Source organism: Homo sapiens, chromosome 16 (genome assembly GCF_000001405.40).
Source record: "Homo sapiens chromosome 16, GRCh38.p14 Primary Assembly".
Classification (NCBI taxonomy): Eukaryota; Metazoa; Chordata; class Mammalia; order Primates; family Hominidae; genus Homo; species Homo sapiens.
The window spans coordinates 85,848,092-85,873,726 of record NC_000016.10 but is presented as its reverse complement, the minus strand read 5'-3'; the positions used below and the strand labels follow the sequence as shown (position 1 = coordinate 85,873,726).

General features: G+C 46.2%; 4 annotated features.

The window, feature by feature from the left end:
* Positions 12,331-12,830: an enhancer, noted in NCBI's record as "H3K4me1 hESC enhancer chr16:85894503-85895002 (GRCh37/hg19 assembly coordinates)". NCBI's record gives its function as "activates a minimal SCP1, AML or CMV promoter by ChIP-STARR-seq in naive H9 embryonic stem cells {active_cell/tissue: H9 hESC(naive)}" and the evidence as "EXISTENCE:reporter gene assay evidence [ECO:0000049][PMID:30033119]".
* Positions 14,166-14,215: an enhancer, noted in NCBI's record as "active region_11291". NCBI's record gives its function as "activates an Ori minimal core promoter by ATAC-STARR-seq in GM12878 lymphoblastoid cells {active_cell/tissue: GM12878}" and the evidence as "EXISTENCE:reporter gene assay evidence [ECO:0000049][PMID:35858748]".
* Positions 14,236-14,355: an enhancer, noted in NCBI's record as "active region_11290". NCBI's record gives its function as "activates an Ori minimal core promoter by ATAC-STARR-seq in GM12878 lymphoblastoid cells {active_cell/tissue: GM12878}" and the evidence as "EXISTENCE:reporter gene assay evidence [ECO:0000049][PMID:35858748]".
* Positions 17,016-17,065: an enhancer, noted in NCBI's record as "active region_11289". NCBI's record gives its function as "activates an Ori minimal core promoter by ATAC-STARR-seq in GM12878 lymphoblastoid cells {active_cell/tissue: GM12878}" and the evidence as "EXISTENCE:reporter gene assay evidence [ECO:0000049][PMID:35858748]".

Here is a 25,635-nt window from a genome sequence, read left to right as displayed (position 1 = left end):
TGGGCATGGTGGTTCACACCTGTAATCCCAGCAGCTCAGGAGGCCAAGGCAGGAGGGTCACTTGAGCCCAGGAGTTCAAGACCAGCCTAGGCAAAAAAGTGAGACCCCGTCTCTACAAAAAATTATCTGGACGTGGTTGAACGCACCTGTGGTCCCAGCTACTCGGGAGACTGAGGCGGGAGGATCCCTTGAGTACAGGAGGTCGAGGCTGCAAGTGAGCCGGGATTGTACCATCGCACCCAGCCTGGGCGGCAGAGTGGGACCTTGACTCAAAACAAACAAACAAAACAGGCAGCAGTTGCTCCACCTGTCCTGAAGGACTTGGAGGCCTGGGTAGTCCTCAACAGCAGGAGGTGTTAAGGAGTATTCTCAACTATTCAGGAAGTGGCAATTTAAGGGTGTGGCTCAGTCCCTCGTAATCACTAACAGTTCACCAGTCCAGAGACACTCCATCACATTTTACACTCTTAGCAACCCATTTCTGTTTCTGTTTAAGTTGCACTCCTTCTTAGAACAATTTTAATCCGTTTATAATTCAGTGTTTATTTTGTCCAGCGTGCTGGGTTCTACATTCCTCCCTTAGAAAAGCTGTTATAACTGCCATGCCAACCATCCGGTATGTAAAGATCTGCCGAGCACACCACCTCCCAGAAGACATCCTGGGATGGTTCTTAGGGGTAGAGGTCAGGGGAGGTTGAGTAGGATTGGTGGGGAGATCTCCAGGGCCATGTTTTGAAATGCATTCTGTATTTGCTTTGGTAATAACATGTGACACCCTTTGTTACTTCTCAAAAAGTTTTGCTCCAAAGATGCTGACCTTGCTGGCATGGACAGTGGCCCCAGCAGGGAACTAGGCTCCTTCCTGCAAATTCCAGGCTAGGCTGAGCGTGACCGACCCAGGAGAATGTGCTTCCTCTGGGTCACGCGACCAAACAAGGGTGACTATGGGATGGGAATAACATGTTTCATGCAAGTTCCAAAGTTCTCGACAAGCAGGTTATAATTTTTCTTACATTGGAGTTGAACCAATATCCCTGTAAACATAAACACAAAAGTCCTCATCAAAATATGAGCAACTCAAAGCCAGTACAGTAAGGCTAGTACACCATCACCAAATAGCATTTTTTCCTGGACTTCAAATTTGAATCAACACTAAAAAAGTCCATCAGTGTAATCCACTATACTAACAGACTAAAGAATAAAAACCACATTATTGTCTCAATCAATGTAGAAAATGTGCTTGCCTAAATCCAACATTCATTCATGATTAAAAAAAAAAAAAACTTTCAGCAAACTAGGAATATAAAGAAACTTCTCTAATCCAATAAAGGACACCTACAAAAAGCCTACAACTAAACTTATACTAAATGTTGAAAAAGGGAATGCTTTCCCTGAAGTCCGAGAATAAGGCGGAGAGATGTACGCCCTCACACTAGAGAAGTAAAAACTTATGCCTACCCAAAACCCTGTACATAAAACTTACAGCAACTTTATTCATAATCACTAAAAATCAAAAACAACTCAAATGCCCTTTAATAGGAATAGATAAACAAACTGTGGGACATCCATCAAATGGAATACCACCAGCAAACAGAACAAACTATTGACACGGGCAACAGTATGGATGAATCTGAAATACCTTAAGCCAAATGAAAGAAGTCAGACACAAAAGATTACATAATGTACGATTCCATGTCTATGACGTTCTTGAAATGGCAAAACTACAGGGAGAGAGATCAGCCCCAGGCTGCCAGGCAGTAGGCGTGGAGGGAGGCCTGACTGCAGAGGAGCCGCCCCAGGAGCTTGGGAGGTGGAACTTTTCTGTATCCTGATGCATCTCCACTAAGGCACGCAGCCCTGTGAATGTGTCAAAACTTAAAGAACTGAACACCAAAACACAAGTGAATTTTACTACTTGTAAGTTTTGGATAAATTTTATAAAAGCTAGCAAAACACACGCAAACATTTCCTGGCCATCCTCCTATGTGTAGTCTTACAGATAAACTTGAGAATAATGTGTTAGGAAGAAAGAAAGAGAAATAAAAAAGAGACAGAGAGGGAAAGAGAGGAAGAAAGAAAGAGAAACAGAGAAAGAAAGGAAGAAAGAGAAAGGAGAGGAGAGGAGGGGAGGGGAGAGGAAGGGAGGGGAGAGGAGGGGAGGAAAGAGGAGGGGAGGAAAGAGGAGGGGAGGGGAGGGGAAGGGATAGGAGAGGAGAGGACAGGCAGAGGGAGAGGGTGAAAGAGAAAGAGAGAAGAAAAGAAAGAAAAAGAAGAAAGAAAGAAAGAAGGAAGGAAGGAGGGAGGGAGGGAAAGAAAAAGAAAGAGAAAGAAAGAAAGAAAGAAAGAAAGAAAGAAAGAAAGAAAGAAAGAAAGAAAGAAAGAGAAAGAAAGAAAGAAAGAAAGAAAAAGAAAGAAAGAAAGAAAGAAAGAAAGAAAGAAAGAAAGAGAAGAAAAATAAAGTAAGTTAGTTCACCGGTAATGTACTGAAAACGGCATTACATTGATAGATAATTTATGGGGAATTGACATCTTTTCAATGTGACTCTTTCTTCCCAAGAACAACATCTTTTGTGCTCCCCAATGGAGTGTCTTCAATTTTTTTCACTTTGGGTCCAGCACATACTTTTCATGAAATTTTCCCTAGTTGTTTTTGTTGCCATTGTGAATGAACTCTTTTTTCTATTACAATTTTTGAATTCTTATTACTAGTAAGTACAGATTTCTGAGTTCCTATTCTGTAACTGGCTGCCTCATTGGCCTCCCTTGTTGTAATTAATATCAGTTATTAATTAATATGATGTTACATAGGCTGACATCATCCACAAATAGCAACTGTCTTTTTCCACTGTTTATATGTCAACTTCTCCTTTCTAATGACGATGACTAACACTTTGAAAACAATGGCAAGTAATCTCACTTTTATTTTCTAAGTTTCACCCACATATAGGAGATAAAACAGCTGTTCAGCTTTTTGTCCTCAATCATCATTTTCTCTGACCTAAAAGATAGTGAACCCTGTATACAGTTATGTCTCTTGTTTCTCACAACAGTTTTTTATTGATTAAAAATTAGTGGTTCATCAGGATTGAAAATATAAAAGAAAAAAAAAGCAAATCATTCCCAAATCCTACAACTCGAACAAATTAATGGTCTGTGCCCTCCGCTGCTCCCTGTCTGAGCTCATCTTGCATAGCATTTCCTCAGGTTGTGATCACAGCATAGGAAATGTCTGTTCAAAGGCTGAAGGCACCCCCTGGATTTTACATACAAACTCTGGGACCGAGGCAGCCACCTGGGCACATTCCTGCCTTGCCATCAGATAGGGGGTTAGGAGAGTTGATAACAGGAAAGAATCTAAGTTATGAGCTCCACTAAAGAGCGACCAAGATGAGAGGAAGGAAAGGGACTGGGCGTGCCAGCTGGCCCTGAATTCCCTCACACTCCCCAAAGACGACAAGGCTAGCAAAGAAAAGAAGAACAAACACAGCCCCGGAACCTGCAACATGGCCAGTCCGGGCGGGTGATCCAGGAGAACGGCTCCAGGTTCTTCCTGTCATCCACCAGCTGCCAGACCTTGATCAACTCCCCTTAGCAGAAAGCGCAGGTTGAACGCTGAAGAGGCTTCAGTGCTAATTGCACATATCTATTTCTTGGGAAAAACAGGGCAACTGGGATGGGGGTTGGGCCGTCAGAGCAAGAAAACTGAGAAGCAATTCCAGATTATTCAAAATCATGAAATTGCACCATCTTTGTGCTGGGAATGACCATAGGAATGACCTAACATAACTTCCCAATTGTTGCAGGAATCCCCTCTTAACAGCATCTTTGAATTGTTCCAGTAATAATAGAAGTGCTATCTCACAAAGCAGTTTGTTTTCGACAGTTTAACATTTAGCAAACTCTCTCTTAAATTGAAATAAAATGGGTTCCAATTCAAAACTTGAAGTAGGGCTATCATCTGTAATGAGACAGAGTACAGCTCCTCATTCTAGCACAGAGCTATCTTTTTCTCTTTTTTTGATATTTGGTGAATTCATTGACATTTATAAAGAATTCCTTTAACATATGGCATATTGTCATATGGCATATTGTCATATGGATTTACGTAGAGAAAAATGTATAAAAATTCTATTCATAAGTGGGAGGCTCATAACTACAGGTTATATCCAAAAAAAATCTATTGCAGATTGTTTTAAATTTAAAAAACAACCTTTAAAATAGTGAATAAACTTCAAGGTAGTCCAAAAGAAAACAAGTAAGTTTCCAATGCAATTTTGTCACCATTCTATTACAAAACAGGAAAAAATGACTAAGGAAGGGAAAATATTATCTTCATTTTCATTTTCTATTGCTGCTATAAAAAATTACCAAAAACTGAGTGGCTTTAAACCACACAAATATATTATCTTACTGGAGGTCAGAATTCCAATATGAAGCTCACTGGGCTAAAATCCAGGTGTGGGCAGTGCTGGTTCCTTCTGGAAGCTCCAGTGGAGAATCTGTTTCCTTGTCTCTTCTGGCTTCCAGAGGCTGCCTGTGTTCCTTGGCTCATGGCCCCTTCCTGTGTCTTCAAAGCCAGCAGTGCTACCTCCCTGACCCTGCTCCCATAGTCACATCTCACCCTGTCTCTCTCCTGCTTCCCTCTCCACAGTGAAGAGCCTCTGTGGCTATGCTGGGCCCACCTGGTTAATATGGGATCATCTCCCATCTCCAGGTCACCAGATGAGAACGCTTAATTCTGTCTGCACCTTTAATTCCTCTTTGCCAGGTACATAGTCACAGGTCCAGGGATTAAGAGGTGGACATCTTTACAGGACGCTTATTTTCCCTACCACAAGTATTTCTTCAATTGTTGATACTTGACAAAAAGACGTGACCAGAAGAAGACAAGCGAGTGTATTCCTTGTTTGTCTTCCTCTGATCACACCTGTCAACAGTTCAGGTGAGCATCTGGAGCCTTGCAGGAACGTCGGTGGTGGTATTCTGCTCAGTCCCCATCTCTGCGGTCTCGCTTCAGTGTTCTGGCTTCCTTTGGCCTTGCTGTCATCACTGCCTCGCTCAGCTTCTAAGAGCTTCTCAGTGAAATGAAAAGGAAGAGGCTGATTTTTCTCAAGGGAAATGGGCAAGATTTAAAATAAATCAAGAAAGAGGGGGTTTTTTGTTGTTTGTTTTGTTTAGTTCAGATAAAGTCTCGCTCTGTCACCCTGGCTGGAGTGCAGTGGTGTGATCTCAGCTCACTGCAACCTCCACCTCCCAGGTTCAAGCGAGTCTTATGCCTCAGCCTCCCTTGTAGCTGGGATTACAGGTGCACACCACCACACCTGGCTAATTTTTTGGTTTGGGTTTTTTTTTTTTTTTTTTTAGTAGACACAGGGTTTCACCATGTTGGCCAGGCTGGTATCGAACTCCTGACCTCAGGTGATCCACCTTCCTCAGACTCCCAAATTGCTGGGATTACAGGCATGAGCCACCGCGCCTGGCCAAGAGGGGTTTAAAAGTGTGCATTTGATGTCACAGGTGAGCAGCAACTATCTGGGTCCGGTTGTACCAGGGCAGGAAGAATTTACCAAGACAGTTGTTGGTAAAGAAAAGCAGATTTATTAGAGAAAGTATGGAAAATATGTTGTAAGGGAGCAATGGGCAGGACAGCAAGAGAGGAACTGACTGCAAGGAGGCAAAGGCTTGCTGAGGACTTTATAGGATGGTGCTCGTGCTGCGTGCAGGAGAGAGCGACATGCAGTACTGACAACACCGAGGTTGCAGCGCGCTATCTTGCAGGTGTCTGACAATAAGTTGGGTGCAGGAGGGCTGCATATCCTGGACCATGAAGAAAGGCAGACTTGTGGCTTACCTGCTTTTTCTTTTTGCTTTTCCTCAGTTCTGCCAGTCTGACTCTGTTTCCGCAATTAGGACTCCAAATTTGCAAAAGAATGGAAGCAACTGAGGCTGAATGAAGCCTTTGGAAGGAAGGCTGGGGAGACCCACGCTCCTGATCCTCCACAGTGGAAAGAAGGACATGAGGGTGGGGGAGCTCATGGATGAGAGGCTCCCCACTCCCCTCCTGGGGACCTTCACTTCCAGGAGAGGGTGTTGGGGTGGTCAGGTCACAGAGGGAAGTATCCACAGCATTCACTCTCCTTCCTGGTGCATATGTATCAGACTGAACTGATGCTGATTTCTAAAAAACCCTACAGACCAAAGCTGAGAAAACCCTCATTTAAAAATTGTAAGCAGCTTCAGTCTAGAAAAGGGATATTGTTCAAACTCATTAGATGAGGAACCAGAGCCTCAGAGAGAGCAAATCAGTCACAGAAGAAAGCAACAGAGACCACAAGTCACCCTGAGGCTGCCGTGGGGCATCCTGAGGCCAGCTGACCCCAGGCCTGTGTCCTGTCCATGGGTCTGAAGTGGCAGTTCTAGAATAGCGGTTTAGGCAGAAACTCAGTCTGAGACATCCTTATTTTTTGGAGCTAAAATAGCCTTCCTGTTATGAATAATGATGCTACTATATGGTAGTTGGTTCTTTAAACAACCTATTACAATGTTAACTATCAACTTCCCCACGCACTCTTTTTCTAGTAGTCTCTGAAACACAAAAGAGTAGGAAACCCCTGGCAGCTCCACACTAAACCTGGGGATGCATCATAGATACATCACATACCAAGGCAGAACATGATATGAGGGCGTCCCTGTATTTCTAGGTATGTGACAGATCGAATGGGAATATGCAGATACAATTGGCCCTGCAACAACATGGGGGTTAAGGGCACTGATTCCCCCATGCAGTCAAAAATCTGCATATAACTTTTGCCTCCCCAGAAATCTAACCACTAATAGCCCACTGTTGACCAGAAGCCTTACCAATAACAAAAACAGTCAATTAACGCATAATTTGTATGTTACATGTCTATCCTGTATTCTTACAATAAAGTAAGCTAGAGAAAAGAAAAGGTTATGAAGAAAATCATAAGAAGAAGAGTATATATTTACTCTCTGTCAAGTGGGTCATGATAAAGGTCTTCATCCTTGTCATCTTCAGGTTGAGTAGACTGAGGAGGAGGAGGAAGAGGAGGGTGTTGTTCTTGCTGTCTCAAGGGTGGCAGAAGTGGAAGAACATGTGCATGTAAGTGGACACATGCAGTTCAAACTCATGCTGTTCAAGGGTCAACTGTATGAAAATATGGGTTTTTAGGCCTGGTGCAGTGGCTCACACGTGTAATCCCAGGACTTTGGGAGGCCGAGGTGGGTGGATCACTTGAGCCCAGGAGTTTGAGACCAGCCTGGGCAACATGGCAAAACCCCGTCTCTTAAAAAATAAAATAAAATAAAATATGGGTTTTAAGCTGGGTGCAGTGGCTCATGCATGTGATCCCAGCACTTTGGGAGGCCGAGGCGGACGGGTCACCTGAGGTCAAGTGTTTGAGACCAGCGTGGCCAACATAGTAAAACCCCATCTGTACTAAAAATACAAAAATTAGCCAGATGAGTCCCAGCTACTTGGGAGGCTGAGGCAGGAGAATCGTTTGAAACCAGGAGGTGGAGGTTGCAGTGAGCCAAGATCACACCACTGCAATCCAGCTTGGGTGACAGAGTGAAACGTCATCTGAAATATATATATATACACACACATACATATACATATATATACACACATATATTATATATATACACATACATATATATACACATACTTACATACATACATATATACATACATATATAAACATACATATGTATACACACACACATATATATACGGGTTTTAGGGTGATAAGAATATAAGTGCCTTTTTGCCTTTTTTTTTGGCATTGTTACATTGTTTTTTCAGCTACATTTGGTGTTACCGTTTTTCCAAAAAGAAGGTATATCTTACTTTTTCTAGTAAAATCAGAATAGACTAAAAATAGAACCACACATAAATAGCCAGTGGATTTTCTGCAAATATGACAAGATGACAAAACAATTCAATGAGGAAAGAATCCTCTTTTCAGCTGATGAAATTAGATGTGATATTGAGTATCCCTATAGGAAAAAAGTAAACCACAACTCTCCTATTGTATACAAAAGTTAACTCAGAATAGGTCTAAGACATAAATTTAAGAGCTACAATTATAAAACTCCTAGAAAAAAATAGGAGAAAAATCTAAGTGACCTTGGATTAATTAAAGATTTCTTAAACAGGACACAAAAAGCACAAACTATAATATTTAAGAAATTGGACTTCAAAATTTTTTTAATTTTTGCACTTCAAATGCCACTGTTAAGAAAATGAAAAGGCAAGCCACAAAAAATATTTGCAAAACATATATCTGACAAAGATGTGTATCCTGAACATATAAAAACTCTTGCTGCTCAATAAAGAAAACAAATAACCTAATTTTTGTAATGGCCGTATGATCTAAACAGATACTTCATGGAAGAAAATATACAGGTGGCAAGTAAGCACTTAAAACCATCATCAGTCCTCAGGCAAATACAAATTAAAACCATAAATAAATATCCCAATATGGTCACTAGGATGGTTAAAATTTTTTAAACTGACAATACCAAGTGCTGACAAGGATGTGGAGCAACTGAAACTCTCAGATGTTGATGGCAAGGATGCAAAACTGTGCAGTAAATTTGGAAAACAGTTTGGCAGTTCCTTACAAAGTTAAACATAAACTTATCCTGTGACCCAGCAATTCCACTTGAAGTATTAACTCCCACCTCCCACAAAAAAAAAAAAAAAAAAAAAAAAACAGAAAAAACATATGTCCACATTAATACCTATTAACATGTGCTTGTTTGGGTTTTTTGTCAGTCATTCACTTTTTGTATTTCTTTTATTTTACTTTAAATAGTTTTAGGGGAACAGGTGGCTTTTGGTTACATGGATAAGTTCTTCAGTGGTGATTTCTGACATTTTGGTGCACTCATCACCCTAGCAGTGTATACTGCACCCAATGTGTGGTCTTTTATGCCTCACCCCACTTCCACCCTTCCCCACCAAGTCATTCTTATGCTTTTTCATTCTCATGGCTTAGCTCCCACTTATAAGTGAGAACATACAATATTCGGTTTTCCATTTCTAAGTTACTTCACTTAGAATAATGGCCTCCAACTCCATTCAAGTTGCTGCAAAAACCATTATTTCATACTGTTTTATGGCTGAGTAGTGTCTCCATGGTGTATATATACACCACATTTTCTTTATCCACTCGTTGGTTGGTGGGCATTTTGGTTGGGTCTGTATTTTTGCCACTGCAAATTGTGCTACTATAAACATACGTGTGCAAGTGTCTTTTTCATATAATGACTTCTTTTCCTCTGGGTAGATACCGAGTAGTGGGATTGCTGGATCAAATGGTAGTTCTACTTTTAGTTCTTTAAGGAATCAGCATACTGTTTTCCATAGTGAATACCTGTTAGCATGTTTATAGAAGTTTTGTTCATAATGGCCAAGGGAAATGACCTCGCTATCACCTGGCAGGTGAATAAACACACTGTGGCTGTATTGGTCCCTTTTCATACTGCTATAAAGAACTGCCAAGACTGGATAATTCATAAAGGAAAAAGGTTTAATTGACTCACAGTTCAGCATGGCTGGGGAGGCTTTGCGGAACTTACAATCATGGTGGAAGGTGAAGAGGAGGCAAGGCACCTTCTGCACATGACGGCAGGAAGGAGAAGTGCTGAGAGAAGGGGGAAGAGCCCCTTATAAAACTATGAGATATCATGAGAATTCACTGACTACCATGAAGACAGCACGGGGGAAACCGTCCCCATAATTCAGTTACCTCTACCCGGTCTCTCCCTTGATACGTGGGGATTACGAGGATTACAATTCAAGGTGAGATTTGGGTGGGGACAAAAAGCCAAATCATATCAGTGGCATATCCATACCCTAGAATACTACACAGAAATAAAAGGAAAGGACTGCTTATACAAACATCAATATAACAATACAGATGGCTCTTCAAAGCATTATATTAAGTGTAAAAAAAAAAAGAATAAGAGACTAAATACTGTAAGATTCCATTTGGCTACAATTCTTAAAAAGGGCAAAACAATGATGAAAAGCAGATCTGTGTTTGCAGGGCACTGGGACAGAGCATGGGTTCATTACAAAGGGGAATGACAGGACCTTCTGGAATGATGGGAATGTTCTAGGTCATTATTGTGGTGGTTATGAAACTTACCAAATTGTACACCTAAAACTAGTGGGTTCTGGCTGGGTGCGGTGGCTCACGCCTACAATCCTAGCGCTTTGGAAGGCCAAGGAGGGCAGATCACCTGAAGTCAGGAGTTTGAGACCAGCCTGGCCAACATGGTGAAACCGTGTCTCTACCGAAAATACAAAAATTAGCCAGGCATGGTGTCGCATGCCTGTAATCCCAGCTACCCAGGAGGCTGAGGCAGAAGAATCACTGGAACCCGGGAGGCAGAGGCTGCAGTGAGCTGAGATCAAGCCACTGCACTGCAGCCTGGGTGACAGAGTGAGACTCCGTCTCAAATAAATAATAAATAAATAAATAAATAAATAAATAAATAAATAAATAAATAAATAAAATTGGTGGGTTTTATTGTACATAAGTTATGCCTTGGCAAATCTGACCCCCAACAATCACCATGCAGTGGAAACCACTGACACGCCTATAACCAAAGTCAAGTCCATATCCTGTGGCCACCAGGAGGCTGCCAGTGGGGAAGTAAGATTTCAGTTTCATTTTCCCAGAGGATTCCTCTAAATCTAGGTGAGCAAAAGCAAAACATGCTGCAGAAATTTTAGAGTTTTCCTGACGTCTCCTCCCCACCCCCGTGCCCCAAGCCAGCTCATGGCAGCTCTCCCATCACAAGCGTCTCAGTTTCTCTTCTTCCGAGAGGGGTCTGACCTCATGGTCAAAGGGGTGTTGGTTCTCAGCGGCCACATCAGCGTGTACTTTCCAAGCTGCGTTCTCCAATGGGCAGCCGGGACCTGTAGCCTGGGCCATCTCTGTCTGCTCCCATGAATGCTGACCTACATCCTTTGCTTCCAGGCGGCACGTGGCCGAAACGTGCATCCAGGGCAGATATGGCAAGAGCAGGGTCCTGCGTGAGTGGCACCCATGGGTGGGAAGAGAACATCACAGCCAGGAGCACAGCTCAGACCGCAGCTTCCAGGAAGCTACTGCTACCCTTGGAAATAGCACTGTGGACCCCAAGACAGGGCCTGCCACTGTCCCCGATTGCTCATCCCCCAAGAAAGAGCTGCCCCATTACCCAGTCTAACAGGAGCGTGTGTGGCCATCCCTCCACTGCCAAACCAATGAACATTTTCAGGATTTCTTTGTTCTTCTCCACACCAGGTGAGTCTTCATCCCTTCGCTTCCTTGAACACGTAGACCGGACTCTCCTCATCCATCTCTCCTGCTCCAACGTCTGTTCCTCACTTCCGCAGCAGGCAGGCCCCAATCTCACCTGGAAAGGCAGAGGTCGGCCAAGACAGCAAGGCCCACCTGGCTCTTTTTTTTGCTTTTCTTTTGTTTTATTTTTTTGTTTTGAGGGAGGGGGTTGAGATGGAGTCTTGCTCTGTCACTCAGGCTGGAGTCCAGTGGCGCGATCTCCAATCACTGCAACCTCCGCCTCCTGGGTTCAAGCGATTCCCTTGCCTCAGCCTCCCTAGTAGCTGGGACTACAGCCACCCACCACCACTCCTGGCTAATTTCTTTTGGTTTTTTTTTTTTTTTTTTTTTGAGACAGAGTCTTGCTCTGTTGCCCAGGCTGGAGTGCAGTGGCACGATCTCGGCTCACTACAAGCTCCGCCTCCCGCGTTCACGCCATTCTCCTACCTCAGCCTCCCAAGTAGCTAGGAATACAGGTGCCCGCCACCACGTCCGGCTAATTTTCTGTATTTTTAGTAGGGACAGGGTTTCACTGTGTTAGCCAGGATGGTCTCGATCTCCCGACCTCATGATCCGCCCTCCTCGGCCACCCAAAGTGCTGGGATTACAGGAATGAGCCACCGCGCCCAGCCTCACCTGGCTATTTTGTGCTCTGCCCACCCATAGATCCCATGGAAGGCTGGAAGGAGCCCATGCGGGCCCAACCCCCTGAGGGACAGCTCCCAGGCGGCGAGATGCCACTTCTGCCGTGAGAGCTGAGAGGGTGGGGAATGCAAGCATGAGAGTGCTCCACATAGACAAGGTAAAGTCAGGGCCCAGAGCCCAGATATGAGCCTTTCCATTTTCCAAACTCACCCAAAGGCCAACTGGCCACATTGTGCACCACTAGTCACAGCTCAAGAAAATTAAAAATGGGGCTTTTCCACTGCAGAAATACCCAGTCAAAGGAGGAGTTTTCCTGCAGAGCTCAAGTGGAGGTAAATGAGGCCCGTGTCCTCCCAGCCTCAGCCACTCCCTGGAGCCCAATCAGTCCCTCTCGTCCCGGGCACTGTGGACATTGGGGGCTGGGTCATTCTCTGTGGCAGGGCTGCCCTGGGCATTGTAAGATGATGAGCAAGATCCTGGCCTCGACCCACCAGATGCCTGTAGCAACCACCAGCTGTGACAACCAAAAATGCACCCAGACATTGGCGAGTGTCCCCCGTGGGGTGCTATCACCCCCTGTTGAGAACTACTGAATTAGGTTTCTTCCTTTTACTTCAGTCTCCTTTAAATCTTTTTCCCTCTACTCCCTGCAGCCTCTGCTCCCCAACCTTCCAGCCTGCCTCCATGCTGCAGTGCCCCTTGGCGTGTTCTGCAGCCTACAGACCCAGAGGGGAGGGCTCCCCTCGACAGCAGCAGAGGCAAGAGTCCTCCCACGTGAGCACCCCAAGGCAGGGTCCCAAGGAGGCCTGGTGGCGTCTAACACAACGGAGTGCTGCTGTCGTCGGGGAGGTGGAAGTCCGGCAGAGAATGGCACTGGCCTGTTACCTGCCTGTTCTGTGTCACCCACATTTCCTCAGCACTGGCTGGGGGCCTTCCAGCTCAGGGGCACCCACCCCTCTCCCACTGATCCTCAGGCACTCCACAAGGTCTGAGCAGCAAAGGCCCAACACACCAAAAGTTTCTAGGAAGGGCTTTTCCTGCCACATCTTGAGGTACTGGAGTCGTTGGATGCAAAAGGAACTGATACGAAAGCAAACTGGATACCAGGCACCACTTCCCGTCAGAGGGACCTCCCATGCAGGGAACTGGGGAGTCCCTTGTGCTGCCTGAGTCACAAGCGTAGCCCATAAAAGGCTCTGAGGACACACCTGTCAGAGCAGCCCACAGCACAGACAGAAACTCAGCCTGCAAACCTCTTGGTCCCTGGTTTTTTCCCATTGTCTATTTTCATGGGGAAGGACAAACCAGAATGGATCCTAATCCCCAGGTCTCAATGGGAAGTCACTTCTGAGCTGCCTTGCTGTTCTCCTGCCTCAGTGGACCTGCTGCAGACTGGGGTTTCTTGACTTATGTGCCCCTGAACCCCTGCCTGTCTGGTGCATGGCAGACATGCCCTGTGAGCATCTGCGATGCTCATGGCACCTCGCCCTCCAGCCTGAGGTTGTGGGTAGTGAGTGCTGTGTTCAGACAGTGGTCCCAAGTGGAAGATCGGGTCTTGGACAAACAGCCTGAGGGCCTGGACATTCATGCCCCCTCCCCTCCTGCTCCTTGGCATTGCCACCTGAGATCGTATTACAGCTCAGGACAGCCGTGGAGGAAGCAGGAGGCCATTTACCTGGGTTCACTGAGAACACTCCAGATGTCCTGTGTGTCCCTGAGCTCCTTCACTCCCACCTCCGATGTGGCCACCCTCAGTCCACAGGGGGAGCTCCCACGCACTCTGCAGAAAACAAAGGGGAACCTCTTCCCACAGAGGCTTGCCAGCCTGGCAAACACCAGGCCTGAAGAAAAGCACTCTGCTCCTCCACCCCGGCGCCCAGCAGCTGAACACAACCGAGGGGCCCCCTCTGCAATGGGACCTTGGCCCCCAGTAAGCCTGCCCGCCCTTCCTCTGTCCTAGACAACCCTCCCCTAGCCTCCAGCGGCCCCGCGGCCCTGCCGCTATTTCACCAAGAAAATAGAAGAAGCAAAAGAGAAGGTGGATGGCATCCCTGAGACCCAAGCGGAGGAGCAGGGCTTGGCCAAGGGGCTGGGATCCACCTGGAAACAGGGTCTTCATGGAAGGTTGCTTCCCCAACCCCAAGCTGCTCTGGTGCCAGCCCACTAGGCCTGGCACTGCCCACAGCAAGACATCACATAAAGAGACCTCAATGGTCACATAAGTGTCACCCCGAGACGGGCTGGAAATCCCCTGGGTTTAGAGCATGATGTCAGTCTTTCTTCCTCTCTTATTGGACAAATGCATGCCCAGGAAGTGGAAGGAAAGGATGAAAGGAGAGACATTGAGGAAAATTCAACCAACATTCCTCTCTAGGACCCAGGAAGACAGCAATGAGGAAGAAAATGGAGTTTCTAACACAACTGGGGAGTGAGACGTCAAACACACGTGCAGGATGACAAGTCGTGTCCTTCTATGAACGGCAGGAACAAGAGGAAAAGTGTAGGAGGGAAAGAGGAAGATGGAGAGAGGAAAGAGAGGAAAGAGAGATGGAGAGGGAGAGGGAGACGGGATAAAGTTAAGGACTCTGAGATGGGGAGGTTATCCTGGAATCTCCAGGTGAGTCCAATGTACCCACAGGGTCCTTAAAAGAGAGGCAGGGCCGGGCACAGTGGCTCACGCTTGTAATCCCAGCACTTTGGGAGGCTGAGCCGGGTGGATCACCTGAGGTCAGGAGTTTGAGACCAGCCTGATCACCATGGTGAAACCCCATCTCTACTAAAAATACAAAACATTAGCTGCGCATGGTGGCACACGCCTGTAATCCCAGCTACTCGGGAGGCTGAGGTAGGAGAATCACTTGAACCTGGGAGGCGGAGGTTGCAGTGAGCCAAGATTGCGCAACTGCACTCCAGCCTGGGTGACAGAGCGAGACTCTGGGGAAAAAAAAAGAAAGAGAGAGAGAGAGGGAAAAGAGAAAAACAGGTGGTATCTCAAGGCAGCACCTGCTAACTAGGGGCCACATGAAATGCACATGTGGGAAGCACATGGACAGCTAGCGAGTCTTGCCATTCCCACAGGGGTTCAGCAAGAAACATCTTGGGCTGCTGGGACAGAAACATCTGGAACCAAAAGAAACACAGAAGATCTCCCAGCCCCCAAGACAAGAGCCATTGGTCACATACACCACCTTGTGTCTGCTATGACCAACAGACTCACAAGAAAAGATGAAGTTTAGGGAACAGCTCAGTGCCCATGGATAATTGTTGTAGGTTTAGTAGGAGTCACACTTCATAGCTGTTGGAGTATTTCCTGATAGACTTTCCACCAGGAGGAGTTCTACACACAATAAACAATTAGGAAACATTTCAATTTAACCACAGATTCTGAGTTTCTGTGACTTATGAGCCAGGCCGTAGGTGTTTTATAAAGACACCTGTTGGCCAGGCGCGGTGGCTCACACCTATAATCCCAGCACTTTGGGAGGCCCAGGAGGCTGGATCACTTGAGGTCAGGAGTTTGAGACCAGCTTGGGCAACAGGGTGAAACCCCATCTCTACTAAAAATGCAAAAATTAGCGAGGTATGGCGGTGCAAGCCTGTAGTCCCAGCTACAGCTACTTGGGAGGCTGAGGCAGAAGAATCGCTTGAACCAGAGAGGTGGAGGGTGCAGTGAGCCAAGATCCCACCACTGCACTCCAGCCTGGGCAACTATAGCAAGACTCCATCTCAAAAAAACAAAACAAAAAAACACCTGTTGTTTAGTTTAGGTCCAGCCAGGTAATCCAGGCTGATCTCATCTCGAGATGCTTGACTTAGTTACATCTGCAAAGACAAATCACACTCTGGCCTGGGGGTTCGAAAACGGGCATCTCTGTGGGAGGCCACCATTCAGCCCACTGCGGGTGGACCCGTACCTGGCAATAGGGACAGGCTCCTCAGCACCCCAGATTTCCCCCCTCTTCCCCCTCGGAATGAGCTTTCCAGACCCTCAAGTACCCCCCACAGAGGGGGTGATCAGGAGCAGTTCCAACCTGGAGACCTAAGACAGGTGTTCCCTCTCCTGCCGGCCACCCCAGGACCTCCTTTCTGCACAAGGAGAAGGGCAGTGAGGTCTTGGGTGACACGAAAGGGCAGAAAGGAGACTCGACACCAGTGTGGAGGCCAGCTGCACCTGTCATGTCTCTGAAACCTGCTTCTTCCTCCTGACAACAGGATGACAGCAAAGCCTGGCATGGCTGTCCTGTGTGAGAGAAGGATGAGCCTGGCGACTGTCATGATGTCACAGCTCCTGTAGACGTGGGCTACGTCTGTGTGCCTGCTGAGAGCAACCCTGGTATTCAGGGGACGTCAGGACCGGCTTGGTGGGGATCTGCCTCCTCTACTTTGGACCTGTTAGAATCATTTTTCTCATCTGGAAAACGGAGCATCGGCACTCACCTCACCTGGGGACTAAATGAGATGTTTGGGAAGCCAATACCTAGCCCATAACCCACACTTACTCGATCGATTTTCAAAATTCTCTCTCCATAGTGTGGATTTCTCCTACCTCAAAGGCACAGGTTGTGTGCTTACTTTAGTACAGCATATAGGGATAAGATAAAAACATATATACCTTAGGGAGAGAAATTATATCATACATCAGGAGGCCATTTGTCATGGCCAAAAAACCCTCAGCAAGTGTGGAACTTACGCCTTGAGGACAAAGAATATCTCTCATCCTTAAGAAAGGCTGCCAGTGAATGTCTGTGCCATGCAAACTATTTCCACAGTCATGTTTTATTTCATTGCAAATTATTGAAAGTATTGTGTTAGGATAATACATTCCTCAGTCCAGTAAATCAGACTTGCAACCTACATATGTCTCGGTGTGCAACCTACACACGTCTCGATGTGCAACCACAGCGGAGTTTCCCCTTCACCCTCAGGGTCTTCTTTGTCCTGCACATGACACTTGACATCTGGCAACCTTGCAAGAACCAAGCGAGGGTGCTGGTGTCTCCCTACTTCTAAACTTCTGCAAACTTCATTTTCTTCTTAGACAAGCAGAAATATGAGTAGAAGTTCAAATATTTTATTCTCTGACTCTAATGGGTCACCTACCCCCCCCCCCCAGGGTGAGATAATTTGGAACCCTCCCATCCTGGGACACATTGGAGGAATAGGTGGCTACAGGGTGACAAGATGGCCATTTCAGTGTGAGATCTTCATCTCCTAAAATTCAGGATACTAGGAAGGAGCACTGGTTGGCAGAGTCACGAGCATAGAGGGGACACACATGGTCTCTTGGCGCTGGGATACTTACTTCTGGAAAACCCAGGGGCTTTTAGGAAGTCCCATGGAGTGTTAGAGCGGTGTGCTGTCACAAGAAGGAGCAAAATCGGGAGTCCTGGGGTCAAGGCTTGACTGTGCTAGAAACTGGCCTTGTCATCAAGGTAGACTGCTGCAACAGTGACTCCCTCCCCACAGCATGATTCATGCTTCCCTGTATTCTCGCCCCTTGGTCATGTGGCTTTCCTGCTCCCCCCATCAATAAATGAGGTCTAGGCCAGGCACGGCAGCTCATGCCTGTAATCCCAGTACTTTTGGAGGCCAATGTGGGTGGTTCACCTGAGGTCAGGAGTTCAAGACCAGCCTGGCCAACATAGAGAAACCCTGTCTCTACAAAAAATACAAAAATCAGCTGGGCATGGTGGTACATGCCTGTAATCCCAGCTACTCGGGAGGCTGCGGCAGGAGAATCACTTGAACCCAGAAGGCGGAGGTTGTAGTGAACTGAGATCCTGCCATTGCATTCCAGCCTGGGCAACAAGAGCGAAACTCTGTTGAAAGAACGAACGAATGAGAGAGAGAGAGAGAGAGAGAGAGAGAGAGAGGAAGGAGGAGATGAGAGGAGAGGAGAAGAAAAAAGATGAAAAGAAAAGAAAGGAAAAGAAAAGTCAAGTCCAGGCCAGGTGCTGTGGCTCATGCCTGTAATCCCAGCACTTTGGGAGGCCAAGGTGGGCAGCTCACCTGAGGTCAGGAGTTCAAGACCAGCCTGGCCAACATGGCAAAACCCTGTCTCTACAAAAAATACAGAAATCAGCTGGGCATGATGGCAGGCACCTATAGTCCCAGCTACTTGATAGACTGAGGCAGGAGAATAGCTTGAACCCAGGAGGCGGAGGCTGCTGTGAGTGGAGATGGCGTTGCTGCACTCCAGCCCAAGCGACAGAGCAAGACTTTCTCAAAATAAATAAATAAATAAATATATATATATATATATATATATATATATATATATATATATATATATGAGGTCTATTTCCCCATTTCCCCCACTCCTTGCCCCTCTGGGGTAGCCTGTGACATGCTTTGACCAATAGAATGGAGTGGAAATGACCTGCAACTTCCAAGGCTGGAGAGCTCCTGCTTTGGTACATTCTTAGCATCATTTGAAGATGCTGCGATGAAAGCTTCTTGGTGGCTCCCACCACACAAGTGAGCCCAGGTAAGATCAGCTGAAGAATCACTCAGTCAAACCAAAGAATCTTCAAGAATAATTCATCATTGCTGTTTTAAGCCATGAAGTTTGAGGGTCATTTGTTATGCAGCAATGCTGACTGATACATTTTCCCAGTCTGTTTATTCCTCTTCTGTACATCTCAGTTTCTTCATCTAAAACATGAGTTTGAATTAGATGATCTCTAGGTTCCTAAAGCTCTGAAGCTCAGTCATGAGGAAAGGAGATAAATGTTTGCCACATCAATAAATAAAAAGATGGAAAAGATGCCAAGTCAAAGAGAGCAGTGCCTGGGAATAAGCATTGTCTCCTCTTGGCTGAAATTGGTCCCATTCCATAGATGCTGCCAAGGAGAGCATAAAGTTTACCCCAGCTGCACACATGGAAGCATTGCACCCCATAGGATGTGGAGCAAGAGATAAGTGATCTCAGACATTGGCCACATAGTCCTACAGCCCTGCACCCATATCTTGCCTCCACTGTGCCAACCTTGTGCCCTGACCCAAAAGTCTCTTTGATCCTGAGCCTGCAACCTCCTTTGCATGCTGCAGTTAGAAGTATCCACCTCAAAGAGCTGTTACAAGGATTAAATGAGATGTATGAAGTAGCTGGTGCCTGGCAAGCGTTGAAAGTGGCAGCTACAGTCTTCCTGCTTCAACCCACAGGTGCCTGGAGATGACCACCTGCAACAGGCAGGAGGAAAAACTGCGATGGGACAAGCAGATGAGGAGCCAAGGTGTTTTCTATCATCCCGGCTACTTCAGTGACTAGTACTGTTAAGTACAGGAGGGCTTCATGCAAACTCTATGCGTGCTTATGGAGGCAAGACTATCAGAGGGTGGCACCCCTACCCCCCGCACCTACACGGACTGGTACAAACATTGTAGTAAGTCACGATGCACGACTCCAGCGTTGGTGGTACATTCATCAAGGCCATAAGCCAGTGACCCTCGAGCTCCCCACTTTAAGTAAAGGGCACTTTCAAAGCAGCAGTTCTGGGTCACTGCTACTTCCCATTGGTAGGGTCATTCTATTTTCTTCTAGCCCTTCTCAAAACTCTTAACTTCCCCATTAGAGAATCTCATTGAGTTGAACTCTCATTTCAGGCTCATTTCCAGAAGGATTTAGACTCGCAGTTCTGCAAGTCTCTCTCATTAGAGTGAATATTTAATGGCTTCCATGATGCTTACCTTGGCTGCCTGTATGCAGGAATCATGCATCAGCTCTAAGAGCTCCCTGCTGCATTTGACTTCCAAATTATAGCTGCCATTAGGGCCTGAAGTCCCAGTCTCTCGACTTAAATGTCTGCATGTTGTGAAATCGAGGGTATAAAGGGATGTTCAGAAAATAGCTTCTCCAACAGGGCTTCCTTCCTGTGGCCAATTTCATGTAGACGTGTCACAATTGCAGGGGGCAAAACATGAGAGGTTAAAAAAATACGGCGGATTTGCTGAAAAAGTTATTTCTTGTAAAAGCTTCTCCCTTCCACTCAGGGAGAAAACAAACAGGCAGATTCCCCTTTGGTTTCCTAAATTTGTGAAGCTTAAGAAAACCCTCGCTTCAGCAAGAATCCTGTGACTAAGCCTGCAAGCCCCTGTCCAGCCCAGAGTCCATCAAACCAAACCCCAGGTTCTCACCCCTGGCTACATTCAAGGCCTGTCCAGCCAGTTCTGTTTGAACACTTCCCATGACCTCAAAAAAAAAATGCAGTGGAATGGGATCCCTGCTGAGCCAGGCTGAGATTTGGGCAGATCTTCCATTTGTATTCAGTGACCTTGTTCCCGAATACAGCCTTTACAAAGTATTTTAGTGCAGGTCACTCGTGGCAACCCTCTGTTAGTTTTTGCCTGAAATGTCATTGTTTCATTATCTCCCTTGAGTGACAGTTTAGCTGGGTTTATTTGTTTTTTCATATTTTGCTTGTTTGTTTTTGAGATGGAGTTTCGCTCTTTTCGCCCAGGCTGAAGTACAGTGGTGCCATTTTGGCTCACTGCAAACTCCGCCTCCCGTGTTCACGCCATTCTCCTGCCTCAGCTTCCTGAGTAGCTGGGATTACAGGTGCCCGCCACCACGCCCAGCTAATTTTTGTATTTTTAGTAGAGACGGAGTTTTCCCACGTTGGCCAGGCTGGTCTCGAACTCTTGACCTCAAGTGATCCACCTGCCTCAGCCTCCCAAAGTGCTGGGATTACAGGTGTGAGCCACTGCGCCTGGCCTTAGCTGGGTTTAGATTCTAGCTTCACGGTTATTTTCACGGCTCTGTTTGGAGATATTCTTCTACTGTCTTTTGTGTCTAGAGGTGCTGGTAAGAATCCATGGTACACTGATCTGTGTTCCACTGGGGAGGGCTTTTCTCTCCGGCTGCTTGCAGACATTTCTTTGTCTTTCATGTTCTGCAGTTTTGCTGCAATGCATCTTACTGTAGGTTTGTTTTTATTTGTCCTGCTTTGTCCTTGCTGGTTGGAAGAGTCATGTTCTTCATCACTTCTGGACCTCTGCGGACGTTCTCTCTCAGCACTGTCCTCTCTCTCCCGGAACTCTGATGTAACCTATGCTGGACTCCAAGACTCTGTAAACTCCTTTTAATGATATTTTGCACCAAGTTTTTCATTCAGCTACTGTCTTATTCTGAGAATTGTTTATTTTCTTTTATTTTTAGTTTCTTTTGTGTATTTAATCATTTACACATACTTATCATCTACCAGATTGCCTGATTATGTAAAGTTATTAAGGATCTAATCCTGTAGCATATTGTCTGTAATCAATTGGCTTACGATTATTGGAGACAATTACTGCATTAAGGTCTACCAAGAGAATTCATGCAATCCTTGCTTTAGCTAAGCTTTTTCATTATTCTCCTGTTGTGAATAAAACAACTTAATGGTGGTTAATATTTTAAAATAATTATAAATTTAAAGGGAAAATCATCTCCTTCCGTTTATGGAGATAGTCATGTCACAGAAAAAGCAGAGGAAAATTATTAAACGACGAAATTCAAATGATGGAATAAATTTGAGCAATCATCTAATCCTTTACTTCTGTAAGGATCAGAGAGTAAGTATTTTAGCCTCTGCAGGTCATACCGTCTCTGTCACAACTCCTCGAGTCTGTGTGCCAAAGCAGCCGTAGACTCTGTCAACGAGTAAACGTGGCTGTGTTCCACTTTATCTTCAAACACAGGAGAGGGGCGGAATTTAGCCCACGAGCCATAGTTTGCCAAACGCTGATCTAGTCCTGTGTCTTACTCAAAGCAGGAACATTTTCCCAAAAAATTCCTGGAAGCCTATCTGAATACTTTCAGTGATGGAGAGCTCACCCCTTTCTAAAGGCCTTGGGAAAGGAGGAGTGTTAGTAACAACAGAAACAGTAGAAACCAATCTCCATGTCCCTCAAATGATCCTTTTTCAAGGATCATTAATGTCTATGAAAGAATTAGATTTATCTCTTACAAGTCTCCAGTCTGTCTGTAGTTTACAAATGGGAAAACAGAGGCTTAATGAGGTTAAACGACGCACCCACAGTGGCACAGCTGGCTTGCAGCAGAACTGGTTTTTTGGCCCTGAGTCAATGTTCATTTCCCCACACCACCTTAACAGGGTTTCCTGGCCAAAGAGCAGGGATGGAGATGATGATGGTGGTGATGGGGTGTGTGCAAGGCCCGGGAGAGGGTTGTAGTGGGAAGATGGGGAAGAAGCCACGCCCCTGGCCACTAGTTTCTTATTCGATTACTCATCTGTAGAGAAATTTGAGACGCATCACCTGACCCATCCGTCAATTCGCATCTGGCATCTAAAAGCACCAGAGTCAGTGCTGGGGAAAACACTATTTTAAAAAATTCCCAGTTTAACCTCAATCCCCCAAGCTTCATCTCTCGATGGGTGCCAATGAGACTGTATTGACACCTACACCAAAACGTTTCCAGCTCGACAGCCCATGACCTGCTTATCTGCAGGACCCAGCCCTCCCTTTGAGGACCTATCTAACATCCTTCGGTACCCCAGCAGACACCTGACAGAGCAGCCCAGGCTTCCAGCCCAGTGGATGCAAAGTGGTGTCTCATCAGGGTCCAGAGTTGTGCTCTCCGATCACCCTTCCCTATACTCATTGGCATAAGCACACTGTCTTCCGTGCGATGTCTGTTCCTGACTTTTGCCCCCTTTTTTAATTGGGCTGTTTATGTTTTCTTACCACTTTGCAAGAGTTCTTTATATAGTCTTGCTACTAAACTTTTATGTGTGTGAAGACTATGTTCTCCCAGTGAGTAACTTGTCTTTTCCCTTTTTCTTCAAGGTTCTTTTCGAAGAGCAAAAGTTCTTCATTTTAACTCAGTCAAATGGCTCCATCTTTTCTGGTGGAATATATCCTATCAGGAAGTCTTCCCTACTATGGGTTTTGCTGAATCACACTGCATAACAAACAAGTGGCTTACAGTCACAGACGTTTGTTGTCCTAGCTCATGGTCTGTGGGTTGGCAAGGGCATCCTGGGTAAGGCTGCAGGGCAGCTCCAGGTCTGGTCCCCAGGCCTTCCCTGGCTCTGGTGTCTACCTGGAGCATGCTGTTTTCATGGTAGGTGCCAGAAGCACTGGAGACCAAGCCAGATCATGCAGACGCACTATGGCCCCGGCTTGCGTCACCTCTGCCAAACTTGTTTTCGTCAAGCAAGTGTCACAGTGTGTAGTAAAGAATTTATCTTTGACCAAAGAGAGACCTGACCTTTGCCCTCAGCTTCTGGAGGGTCACTGCTAAGCCCTTGGGAGGCCATGCCTGATAAGAGTATCTGTTGGCATGAGGGCCTTGGGACAGCCAGATAGGACAAAAAAAAAGTGAGCCTTTGGATTCTTTTAGGACATTTTGGAGGGGAAAAAAATGTGGAACATGGTGAGTTTCAGGTGGACGGGTAGGACCGAGGAGGAGGGAGTGTCAGGAAGCTGATGCCGAGTCTTAGGAGCCAAGAGGGAACGACTGACTTAAATTAAGGTTAACCTCAAATGCTCCAGGAAAGTCAGTGGATTTGCAACTAGAACATCTCTGATGTGGCCGAGAAGGCAGGTTAGTTACAGTGCAGGCCACGGTGCATTGCCCAGGAAGTCCAGGTCACTTTCTGACATCTCCCTTTGATCTCACTACCCTACGAGGTAGAACTATTACCGACTCTGTTCTGCAGATGAGGACAGTGATGCTCAGAGAGGTCGAGTGACTTGTCCAAGACCATGACCAGGGGAGGGTGGAACTAGAACTTGAACTCACATCTCCTATGGACAAACCCCACTTTGCTTTCCAGTAAACCACTCCTGTAGAGATGTGCCCACATTGTGGGACTGAGGAGCAGAGAGGGAGCCAAAGGACCCCAGATGAGAGGAGAAGAGAGGGAGAAACAGGCGTGGACGGTGCTGTCTGCAAACTCAACAACTGAATGAAGGTGAAGGCAAAGGATGGAGCAGGTGGTCTTGCAGAAGAGACCTACTCCTGTGTGAGCGACGAGGACACAATGCATTGTGTCACCTGCTGCTAAGGAGAGACATTTAGCTGTCCTTCCTCCCTCTTATAATTGGAGAGTCAGCAGTCCCAAGTGGTACCCAGCTCCCAAGATACAGTAGAGGCAAGAGGTGCAGGGCACAGGCTTGAGAGTCAGAAGAACCTTGCCCTCAGCCTGGCTTTGTCACTTCCGAGCTTTATTGTCCTTGTCTGCGAGATGGGAATAGCACTGACGAGCTCATAGTCACCTGATCCATGCTCAGTTGCTTTAGCTATTCGTGTTATTACAGCTATCCGTAAACCATAGGAGATAATACCTGCACGAATCATGGTTTATATTTATCAAGCACTTTTCAGGTCAGATACTTCGTTGTTAAAGTGTGTACAGGTTCCCACTCCAGTTCAGGAACTATTTTCGTTAGATTATGCCACTTCATTGGAAGAAACAGCTGGTGGAAAGGAAGAAATTGAAGATGCTGGAACGTAAGGGCTGGCTGAGGGGCAGAGGCAGTTGGAGGCCGAGTGGGATCAGAGCCAGCCAGGATCTGCTCAGCTGGGATGCAGAGAAGGGTGGGGGAGGTGTCGTGGATGTAGAGACTGAGGCCACAATCCCTCGGCCTCAGGCGTTTATCGGGAGCTTCCTGCGCCACAGTGACCAGCATTCTGGTTGCACCAGCAGGTGAAAGTGGACTTTTTTCTGAAAGTTACCATTTATTAGCTTCATCCTGCCCAGTACTTCACACCTTATTTCCTCATGGCAACACCTCGGAGGCAGGTTATAATTGACCCGTTTTACAGATAAGAAAACTACGACTGAGACATTAAATAACCTGCCCAGGAAAAAAAAAAAAAAAAAAAAAGGTTAGGAAATGGTGAAGCCAGGTCTGTCTGCTTGAACTTTCTCCACAATGCCACATTTCTTGTTTCTCCCCCGAATTTTTTAGTTGTGGTAAAGCACACATAATATTATAATATTATTTATCATCTCAACGATGTTTACGTGTAGAGTTCAGTGGTACCAAATACATTCAGAACACTGTGCAAGCAAAGCCACCATCCATCTCCAGACTCTTTTCATCTTGTAAAGCTGAAACTCTGTCCCGGTTAAACACTGAGTCCTGTCCCCGGCCCCCAGCCCCCAGCAGCCAGCATTCTACTTTCTCACAACACCGTGTTTCCAAACCTTTGAGACACCGCAGGATAAGGGCTGGCACCAGCCCCAGGCTGCAGGTTTGCAGAGAAAGGTCCGGAACGTCCTTTCCTGATCCATCTGAATCCACGGTGCCCTCTCCCGCCCTGGACCTTGCTGGGAGACAGACGGCGGGCTGTGTGTAGGGGTGATCGGATATTTATTATCCCACCTGGGACACTTTCCCCCCAACACTTCAGCACGAACATTTCAAACACACAACAAGGCAGAGAGGATCTCACAGTGCAGCTCGCGTCCTCACTACCCGGAGGCCGCATGGACACTGGCTCTCCCTGCCTGGTCAGGCAGCCGCCCGTCAATCCTCCCTCACCCAACCATCCATCCACCTTGGCTTTTGGACAAACGACAGAGCAGACTGCAGACTCCAGCACCGTCCTCTATTTAATATCTTAGTGTGCATATTGCTAGCTCATGGCCAACATTTGTTTACAGTTGCTTAAATA